This window comes from Homo sapiens, chromosome 4 (genome assembly GCF_000001405.40).
Source record: "Homo sapiens chromosome 4, GRCh38.p14 Primary Assembly".
Classification (NCBI taxonomy): domain Eukaryota; kingdom Metazoa; phylum Chordata; class Mammalia; order Primates; family Hominidae; genus Homo; species Homo sapiens.
Window position 1 is genome coordinate 27,114,664 of NC_000004.12, and position 10,737 is coordinate 27,125,400.

At 44.6% G+C, this 10,737-nt stretch overlaps 4 annotated features.

Annotated features, from left to right (window-relative positions):
- Positions 7,405 to 8,263: an enhancer, noted in NCBI's record as "NANOG-H3K27ac hESC enhancer chr4:27123690-27124548 (GRCh37/hg19 assembly coordinates)". NCBI's record gives its function as "activates a minimal SCP1, AML or CMV promoter by ChIP-STARR-seq in naive H9 embryonic stem cells {active_cell/tissue: H9 hESC(naive)}" and the evidence as "EXISTENCE:reporter gene assay evidence [ECO:0000049][PMID:30033119]".
- Positions 8,264 to 9,122: an enhancer, noted in NCBI's record as "OCT4-NANOG-H3K27ac hESC enhancer chr4:27124549-27125407 (GRCh37/hg19 assembly coordinates)". NCBI's record gives its function as "activates a minimal SCP1, AML or CMV promoter by ChIP-STARR-seq in naive and primed H9 embryonic stem cells {active_cell/tissue: H9 hESC(naive and primed)}" and the evidence as "EXISTENCE:reporter gene assay evidence [ECO:0000049][PMID:30033119]".
- Positions 8,444 to 8,738: a silencer, noted in NCBI's record as "tiled region #8465; K562 Repressive non-DNase unmatched - State 24:Quies". NCBI's record gives its function as "represses a minimal TATA promoter and a strong SV40 promoter by Sharpr-MPRA in K562 cells {active_cell/tissue: K562}" and the evidence as "EXISTENCE:reporter gene assay evidence [ECO:0000049][PMID:27701403]".
- Positions 9,123 to 9,980: an enhancer, noted in NCBI's record as "OCT4-NANOG-H3K27ac hESC enhancer chr4:27125408-27126265 (GRCh37/hg19 assembly coordinates)". NCBI's record gives its function as "activates a minimal SCP1, AML or CMV promoter by ChIP-STARR-seq in primed H9 embryonic stem cells {active_cell/tissue: H9 hESC(primed)}" and the evidence as "EXISTENCE:reporter gene assay evidence [ECO:0000049][PMID:30033119]".

A 10,737-nucleotide genomic window follows, 5' to 3' on the forward strand; every position in this document is an offset into this window, starting at 1 on the left:
TGATGGGGGATCCCAGGAGCAAATGGTAACCCCTGAGGGCCTGGAGCTCTGGGGGTCAGGCTTGCTTGGCACTGCCATTCACTGAAGTGCAAGTCCTGAAAGCAGGAATATTTTCATGCACCAGCTCTTCCTAAGGTAGAAGATGTCCATCCCCACAGGGCGTATGCCTCCTTAGACAAGAGGAAGATGGAATTTAAACTTTTCCCTCTCTTCTCCCCTCCACATAGTTTCTATTATATGAAACAAAGGGACTTTAAACACTACTACATTTAAAGATTTTAATAGGTAATTCTTGATTATGCCTATGATGTAGAGACTGTGACAAAACACAGAATTAGATGCCTAAGAATCAAATGACATGAAATACTTCAACGAAATCATGGAATATGTGTACCCACGTCTGCAGGCTTTAACTCTGTGCTGAAAAAGCAGATGCCTAGATCTGTGGGGGAACACACAGGGCAGCCCAAATCCTCCTGAGGATTCCAAGCTTGAGTCCTGTCATTTCCAAGGTAAGCATTTTAAAAATTCTGCATTTTCAAAACTCGTGGCCCAGGTGATGAGGGCATGAAATTCAAATCTCTTATTCTACTGTCTCCTGCTGCTTTTGAGCTCAGTGAGAATTTCAGAGCAGCGATCTGTTTTTATGCCTCCAGTTTATTCTGCACCACAACCCAAGGCAATGCCAACATGTAAAGGATGATTCTACAGATTGCAGCACTGTGCTGCTCCCATGTCTGACAAGCAAAGGGCAGTGCAAAGCTGTAGGGGGTTGGGGGTGGGGCTCCAGGAAGAAAGAGAAGGCTGGACTCCAAAGGGACAAGAAAGAGGTGATGAAAAATGAGGCTCTTTTTTGTCACTCTGTACGCATGGTGGAAATATGTTGCTTTTGTTGTTCGTCCAGCCTCATTTTGTTGAATCACTTCTTCTCTATTGTATGTGTTCTGACGGTGCTGATAAAACCATGCACAGGTTACTTCCTTTTGTCCTTCAGGGCCACATTCTACTTTTTCTTTTTTTTTTTTTTTCCACATTCTTTGCCTGAGAGGCTGAGCTATAGGAATCTCATCACCTGGGCTCCCTTCTCCCTGGCTTCTGGTTGGATTCATCCAATGAGAGGCACCGACAGGAGACCAGTGCTGGGAGGATGAGGTTATTTCTCAGGCTCTTTCTCTCTGGGTTGCTCACAGCTCATGCAGGTGCCTGCAACTGCCTCTGGGTTCTAGGAACTGTCTCCCTTATACCTTTCACCAGGAGAAGTAACAGCTTCTGGCTGTTCTTAACCTTGGGGTTCTTCCTCATCCCTTGTAAATTTCCTCCATTCTGCACACCTGTTTGTAAAGAGTCTCTTTACTAAGCTCACCTCAAACATCCCATGAGTGTGATGTCTGTTTCTTATTATCAACTTGATTGATAATACTGTATACCCCATTCCCCCCTCAGTATTCCCCCAAAGTCAAAACCAAACACTGTGGATGGTCCCATGCCCCACGTGGGTCCCTTCATTCATTCAGAGATATTTACCGACTATTTACTGTAAGCCAGGACTGTTCTAAGCATTGAGGAGGACAGGGGCAAAATGGCAGACCCCGCCTTTACCCTCATGGCACTTACATCTCAGTGGGGTAGACTAGAAAAAGACTAATCAATCGCGCACCCTTGAGATCATCTCAGATGGTTGTTCAGACTATAAAGAAAACAAAGAAAGAAAGGTGACAGCGAATAGCTGGGTGGGTGTAGGTGGGTCGGCAACCTCAGGTCATGTGGTCAGAGAGAGTGGTTCTGGGAAGACGACCATTAGGAGGAGTTCTGGATGACAAGAAAAATAGGGAGAAACACAAATTACATGAAAGGGACAGCAAAGGACAAGTATCTAGGAGAAAGAATGAGTTTGATATAAAGAAAAGAAAGAGGGCTGGGCATGGTGGCTCATGCCTGTAATTCCAGCACTTTGGGAGGCCGAGGTGGGTGGATCACCTGAGGTCAGCAGTTCGAGACTAGCCTGGCCAACATGGTGAAACCCCGTCTCTAATAAAAATACAAAAATTAGCCAGGCATGTTGGCACGTGCCTGTAATCCCAGCTCCTTGGGAGGCTGAGGCAGGAGAATCACTTGAACCTGGGAGGCGGAGGTTGCAGTGAGCTGAGATCGTGCCATTGTACTCCAGCCTGGGCGACAAGAGCAAAACTCCATCTCAAAAAATAAAAATAAAAATAAAAATAAAAAAGAAAAGAAAGAGACCAGTGTCCCTGAAGAACAGTAAGCCGAGGATAGGTAATGAGGTTAGGGAGATGCCGGGGCCTGATTATGTGATTAAGTGAACAAAGGACTTAGATCTTATTCTGAGGGAGAGAGGGACATTGTAGGAATTTTACACAGGAGTGATGTCATCTTTTGCACATTTGTTAAAAATCCCTCTGGCTGCCATCTCACAATGGCAGTGGCTGCATGATCTCTTGTCCCCTCCGTATATATATCATTGGCCATCGTCTTTCCCATTGGGGTACCCTGACTTGGGAGGTGGCATCCCATGTACTGTGTGATCAGGTAGAAATCTGGACACCTTCCTTGAACTGCCCGACCTCACTTATACTCTCCATTCAGCAGCTGCACCCATCCTTTCTGTTTCTTTTGCAATTCCCCTGTCAGCTTTCACCCACTCTGTCCCTACTTAGATTGGGAACCTTGTCATTTCTTATCCCGATTCCTTTACCAGCTTCTCTGCCTCCATCCTCTTGTACCTCTGGTCCATTTTCCACTCCACTGCAAGGGCGATTTTATCAAAACCCACTCCCCAGCTTCCTGTCCCTGAATGACTTCTCATTGCATCCCAGGCTGGCCAGTGTTTAGCCCCCACCCACCTTCCTATTCTCCTTGCCTCAAAATACTCTTAACAGATGCCCCATAATCTTGCTTCTTGGACCTCTTAACATGTCAGAGTCTGCTCCTTCTCACCTCTGGGACTCTTCTGCTGCTGTCCCCTTGGCCTGGGGTGCTGATTCTCTGTGGCTCCTAGTTATGCCTGGTGTCAGTAATTGCCTCCTTGGTAAAGCCAGTTATCATGCCCCACCCATGAGGCTGTTGCCCGGTGCTCCCTTCTCTGAGCAGTTCTATTTCTGATCTTGCCACACTGTTTGGTAACTTGTTGTTTACTTCTTTTTTTTTTTTTATTATACTTTAAGTTTTAGGGTACATGTGCACAACGTGCAGGTTTGTTACATATGTATACATGTGCCATGTTGGTGTGCTGCACCCATTAACTCGTCATTTAACATTAGGTATATCTCCTAATGCTATCCCTCCCTCCTCTCCCCACCCCACAACTGAGTATATACCCAAAGGATTATAAATCATGCTGCTATAAAGACACATGCACACGTATGTTTATTGCAGCACTATTCACAATAGCAAAGACTTGGAACCAACCCAAATGACCAACAATGATAGACTGGATTAAGAAAATGTGGCACATATACACCATGGAATACTATGCAGCCATAAAAAATGAGTTCATGTCCTTTGTAGGGACAGGGATGAAGCTGTTTACTTCTTTATCTTCTCCACTAGACTGTGTTCTCCTGCTAAAGAGCATGGGTATGGGAGCCTCAGAGCAGGTCCTGAGGTTCTGGAAGTCTCTTTCTACCTCTTTGGTCGGTGGACTGGGGGTAAGTCCCAGGATCCTGAAGGAGAAGCCCTCGGGCAGGGGTGGCCTGGAGGCTTGGAGCAACAGCAATTCACTAGCTGTTATCTGTTCTCTTCCTGTTAGAATATTGAATGGCCTGCACTTAGCAGCTGCTCAGGAAATCTTTGCTGAATGAATGCATGATGTTCTGTCTCCTCCATGAAGCCTTGCCTGACTTTACCTCTGGCTTACACATATGACCCCTTTTGGAAAAGCATTGAATTTTTGGACAAAACTACATAAATTAGTGTTGAATGATTTTCCACCCCAGTTCAAAGGCAAGGCTTCCTTATAGTAATGCCTTATAGTAAGTACCTTATAATAATAAGGTGCTATACTTATTCCCATTTTACAGATGACAAAACAGAGGCACACAGAGAGAAATAAGTCACCCACTCCTCTCAGCTAAGTCCTGGAGTTGGGATTGGAGCCCAGGCAGGCTGGCCCCAGAGTCCACTCATGTATTGACTGTGACTGAAGGGCACAGGAGAGCATCCCATCATAGGCTGCACAGCTCCTGGGCAGCCCCCACAGCCCAGCCCTCACAGCCACATGGCTGTTGCCTCTTCCTATTGCAGAGAATGATTTGGGGGTTGAAGAGATTAAAAACGCAAAGTGGCATTTGAGTTTGTCCATCACATCATGTTTACTTTAGTTATTCTTTGGAGATTTTTTAAAGTCAGTGCAGGTGACTAGGAACATCACTGATACATCAGAGAGGATACTTTAGCCAAGCTACTTACATCCCTGTGCCTCAGTTTCCCTATCTACCCAATGGGGATAATAATAGTACATGCTTTGTAAAGTTGCAAGAATTAAATGAGTTCATACATGCTAAATGTTTACGACAGTGCTGTATGCATTGTAAGTACCCAACAACTGACTCTTTTTCTCCTCCTCCTTCTCCTCCTCCTCCTCCTATAAGGTTTGGGGCTCAGTTTAAACATCACGTCCTCAGGGAGGCTTCCTTAACCTTAGGTCAGGTCAGCGCTCCTCAATAAGCATTTCTCTAGAGCTGTCCATTCCATTCCATGACTTTCTCTGTGATTGTACGTGTATGTGCGTATTTGTATGCACAGGGGCATAAATATGCACATACACACATTTACACATGCAAATATATATATATGCATTCTTCTAGGCCTGTCTATACTGTTCATGACAGAACCATAATGTCCATCTCAGAGCTTGGCTCCTAGCAGATCCTTAGTAGGTATTTCTAGAATGGATACTGGGTGAGACGTTTAACTACCACCATCTAAGACTGGCCCTGAAATCACCAATTCTGGTTTTCTTTTCACTACAGCACACCACAGGTCTACCCACAGCCCCCTCCAGCCTCTCCCAGAGGGATTTGGAGAAACTGTGTCAGCTATGAGCTAGACTCGGGGCTCTCCTCAATCCTGTTAGGTCTGTCATCTTCCACACTATGAATCTTTTTGATCTAGTTAGCCTCATCCCTTGAGTTATTCTTTCTAGTTTCATCTTCTGCTTCTTTACGTTTTACTTTTGCTTTACAACTCACGTTTTGGGGTACATCTTTTGAGCGGCTTCTTGGGTTAATTATTATCAGAGGGGCTGAACATAAGACACTTTTCTACATGCTTTGGAATATGAAAGTAGATCTTTTCCTTTGGCTTTTATCAATTGAACTTACTCACTTGGACGGCCCCTCTCTCCTACTTCAATTTTTTTCAAGCTCTAATTGACCATGAAACATGCATTTAACAAGAGCTGCAATTGAAAGCCCAGAACCCCAAGCAGCAACGTGCAAGGCTGTGGTCACTACTTGAAAGCAACACAAGAGCAAACTGATTGAACAGCTTAATGCTTTGCCAGTTTTTATTTCCTTAACTGCCTCCCCCACCAAAAAAAAAAAAAAAAAAAAAGAAAGAATCTGTGATTCACAGCAATTCTATGTCCACAAGTTTAATTTTTATAAAGTTTACATTTTTGCTATATTGCTTAAAAAACTTCCAGAAATCTTTCAACCTTCCTTATCTATATGATATCAGTGTTAAATTTTTTTCCTTCTTTATGGTGATTGACATGCTCTGGTCTGTCTTAGCTTTCTGCAGGTAGGTTTATGTCAATGAGAAGAAGGAAGGTGTATTAGTCCATTTTCACGCTGCTGATAAAGACATACCCAATACTGGATGATTTATAAAGAAAAAGAGGTTTAAACAGTTCCATGTGGCTGGGGAGGCCTCACAATCATGGCGCAAGGTGAAAGGCATGTGTTACATGGTGGCAGGCAAGAGAGAAATGAGAGAACCAAGAAAATGAGGTTTCTCCTTAGAAAACCATCAGATCTCGTGAGACTTATTCACTACCAAGAGAACAATATGGGGGAAACCGCCCCTATGATTCAATTATCTCCCACTGGGTCCCTCCCACATCATGGGGGAATTATGGGAGCTACAAATCAAGATGAGATTTGCATGGAGACACAGCCAAACCATATCAGAAGGATAAAAGGGAATTTCTTTTGCTCATGAAGACACTTTTTTTAGGTGTGAGCCAGTGTGCCCAGCCTAAGGACACTTTTACATGGATCTCCTGAGAAAAAAGATTCGAAGGCCTCAACGGAGAATCCCAGAACAAAGTTATTGAACAAATATGGAGGGAGATAGCAGGTGTGGCCTCCAGCCTCATTGGGTTGACTTCCTGGCAGCCAGCAAGATAGAGTCAGGGCTGTTGCAGGCTGAGCTGGAGGTTTGTATGCATGTGGGGTAGGTTGGGGACAGCACCAGATCGAATGGGCTCCTTCCTGGGGCTCAATCCTTCCCAGATTTACTCTTTCCACCCCAAACTGATGATATCAGAATTTGAGATGAGAAGAAAAATGAAACTTTTGAGAAAGAAAACACAGGCTTCCTAGGACACTCAGGTTTGATTCTGAGCCCCAAGATCTTCATGCTTTAGGCTCTTTTCTCTGCTATCCATTCAATCTCTATGAAGCTCTTTCTGAAGCACTGCCCTTGTGCTCTGTTTATTCAAAACACAGTCTCAGTGCAGCTTAAATGAGAACCGAGGGTGATGGAACAGACCAGGACATTTTCTTCACAAAGTTCCAAACAAACTTGAAAGAGGAGAGGAAAAATCCACTCCAGCTTTTATATTTCCTCTAGATCCAGCCTCCTTTTCTTCCTCATTTTCCCCCCATGTCCACATTTAAGAGCAAAGAAGAACATTCTTGTGACTTTTAAGTATTTGAGCTGCCGGTACAGGTTAAGTTTTGGCAAAGCGTGGGCATGCTTGGGTTTGCAGTCAATCTAGAGCAATTTTCAGAAGGCCAGGCCCTTTATGCATTTTTACTTTCTTTCAAATGAAAATAGCTTTATTGTTTTCACTGATTATAGAGGTAAGCAATCTGTCTGGCTTTACTGGCTTAGAATTCAATCTGAGGTCAAATCCCTTCTTATATTTAGATCACATGGCTTGAGCACCAGCTTGCTCTGCAGGAATGTATTGACCTTTCTGGGTTATTTTATTTTTTTCTGTGTCAAGTCCAAGAACTCCAAGGACCTTACTCAGTCCTAGCACTCAGTTTCAGTTACCACAGTCGGAACCGAGTGCACAAGAAGAAACTGGCAGCTGCATAGGAAGACCTGAACTGCATAGGAAGAAACTTGACAGCTTCTCTAGTTTGTGTATTGCAGCCACACAGATTGAGGATCTGAAGAGGATGCTGGCCCCAGTCATGTGCTGCAGTGCTCACAGCTGCAGTGATGGCAGCCGGGCAGGGCTCCTAAGGATGTCTCTTGTCCTGGGACATTCTTCAGCGATGTCTTTTCTGCATAGTGAGGACTAAACTCTGACCTTTTCGTCTCTTGCCCAAATTCCTATCTGAGAGACCAAGGTTTGTCATGCCCTACAAACCATAAAATCTCATCAGATGGGTTTTATTTAACCCTTTATGACATGACTTACTTTCCAACCTGACTCTGGCATAACATCATGTGACAGATAAAAAAGAAAATCAAACTTCTTTATCCCCAGATTTTTTTTGATATATTTTGAAATGACCCTCCAGAACCATCTTTTGTGGGAGAAAATTTGCATCTGTAAAGAATCTCTGTTAAGGTAACTAGATCTTTCCCCTTCCAGGGCCTCCCAATCCTGAAGAGATTGACTTAGAGTCTAGCACCTTTTAGTGGTCTGAATAGGAAACATTTGCCATCTATTGCTTCTGAGGGTGGCCACCTATTGAGACTTCATCTATATAACAAGAATCTCAGTCTCCACAACTTCTTAACTTACCCTAGACAGTCCTTTCTATTGATTCCAGGTTTTTCAATAACTCTTTCAACCAACAGCCAATCAGAAAAATCTGTGAATCCACCTGTGATCTGTAAGCTTCCTCCCTACCCACCCCCACCAAACCATGTGAGGTATACGTTGGTTCAGTCTGGAAAGGTGAGCCTGCCTCTCTGGACCAAACCAGTGTATACCTCACATGTATTGATTGATGCCTTATGTCTCCCAAAAATGAATAAAACCAAGCTGTAAACCAACCACCTTGGACACATGTTCTCAGGACCTCTTGGGACTGTAAATAGGGCCATGGTCACTCATATTCAGCTCAGAATAAACCTCTTTACATATTTTTACAGGATTTAATTCTTGTCAACAATAGGTAACCTGCCCAGTGTTAAACGCCATTTCTCACTCATCTGATTGCTACTGAGTCCCTGCTCATCCCAATTGTGAAAATATGAGCACACACATCTGCACAACACACACACATACCTCCCAGTAGCTTCCTGGTTATACCCATAGGGCACACTCCCTATTCTGTGTTCTTACTCCTCATTATTCAAAGTGTGGTCACCTGTTGAGCAGCCTCAGCATCCTCTGAGCTTGTTAGCAACTCTCAGGTTTCACTCCAGACCAACTGACTTGGAATCTGTATTTTAACGAGTTCCCTGGTGACTCATATACTCTGCCCTCTCCCTGCTGGGAAACCTTCCTTTTTCCAACACAGGGCCTTGAGATGCTGCCTGCCTGTGTCTGGACTGACCCCCAGAGCCTGTAATGTTATGCTTCAGCCTGACTGGTGGCCTCCATGGATGCCCCTGGCCCCATCTCTGAGTTTCTTTTGGACCTTGGAGTGGAGCTGTTCTCACATGGTTAACAAGAATTCTGGACAGAAATATAGTTATAAGCATTAACCAGGCTGCACTTTGACCCACTTCCGTGTAACTGAAAGGCACTCAATGCTAGACACTGGCTATTTGCATCCCCATTGTTTCTGTAGCTAGGATTTCTGATGTTAGAATCCTAAGCCTTTTGTTTCAGAATTGCTTAAGCAGATCCTGAATTCCAGCAAAACAGCTGATGCCAACCAGTTAAAAGACCTTCACAGAGGAACCAAATCAGCATGAGAATACAGCTTCTTTACCTCCTTGACCCGTGACTTAAATCCTTCACTCTCAGACCAATCAATGATCTCCACACTTTGGCCCACTCCAAAACCCTTAAAAACTTTGGCCCCAAACTCCTCAAGGAGACAGACTTGAGGTTTCCTGCTGTCTCCTTGTTTGGTGACCCTGTGATTAAACCTCTTTCTCTGCTACTACTCAATGCCTTGGTGCACTGACTTGCCATGTGCTTCAGGCAATGAACCTATTATGGTTACAATTTACCTATTACAATTATAGGAGAAGGAGTTGTCTCTGTTCCAGACCCTATCTAGCCTTCTGACACCCAACAGTTAATGGAAGTTATTTTTTTTTTTTTTGAGACAAGGTCTCACTCTGTTGCCCAGGCAGAGTCCAGTGGCATAATCTTGTCTCACTGCAGCCTTGACCTCCCCAGACTCAAGCGATCCCCCTGCCTCAGCCTCCCGAGTAGCTGGTACTATACAGGCATGCACCACCATATCTGGCTAATTTTTTATTTTTTAGTAGAGATGAGGTTTTGCCATGTTACCCAGGCTGGTCTTGAACTCCTTGGCTCAAGTGATCCACCTGCCTCTGCCTCCCAAAGTGCTGAGATTATAGGTGTGAGCTACTGTGCCTGGCCGTGATTTGTTTTCAGGTGACTGCTTTGGAGCTCACATTCTGAGGCCTCTCTGGATGCTCCCACGATGCACAGAGTTTAGGGGAGTGAACCTGGGCATCCAGAACAAACTCCCCTGGGGAGCTGAGCCATTGGGCCTTGGCCCAATGTTCTTCTATTAGCACATCTGCCCATATGGAGATCATGGAATTCTAGCAACTACCCCACAGAAACTAAGAGTTTGTATTATTGAAAATCCTTATGTGATAGTGACTTAGCTTTCATCAGAACCCGATTCTCCCTCTGTTTTATGAGCCACATGCTTGGGGCTAACATCTTCTATTGCTGTAGGTGAATTCATTCCCTGAGCTTCTTGCTTTGGTGAGAAAATGTGTTCAGCTGCTCTTAATAGAAATTCAACTACAGTGGCTTAAACAAATAGAGGTTCATTTTCCTCAGCTAAAAAAAGAATTCAGAGGCAGACTATCCAGGGGATGCTCCAGGGGCTCAAAGATGCTCTTGGGAACTAGGTCTCTTCTAGCTTTGAGCTTCACCATCCTTAAGAGGTGGTCATGCCACCTCCGGGCATGGTGACTGTACCATAGGCAAAAACAGGGCCAAGATCTCATATCAGCCAAGTCTGTTATTGTTTATCTCAGGAAAGCAATAGGTTTCTGGGAGGCGCCACCCTGTAGGCTCTCATGTGCCTCTCATTAACCTAAACTGGGTGATGGTGATGTGCAAATAAGGAGGAGGTGAATCGGATTCCACAGGCATCCAGCAGTGGCTCCACAGCTATCATTAGGATGCATTACCAGGTAGTGGTGTTAGAGCTGATTTGATGTGGGAGAGATTGGGGAAGAAGGATAAAGAATTCAGAAGCTACTGTATTAGTCTGGGCAAGAAGTGAGGAGGGTCTGCATGAAGGCAGGTGAACAGCAGGAAGGACCACCATCTCCATGGCTGCCCCCTCTCCAGAGCCATCATCTCCCCCACCTGGACCCCGCAACTGCCCCTATAGGCCTCTCTTCTTCCTTTTGTTCCCTCCAAAC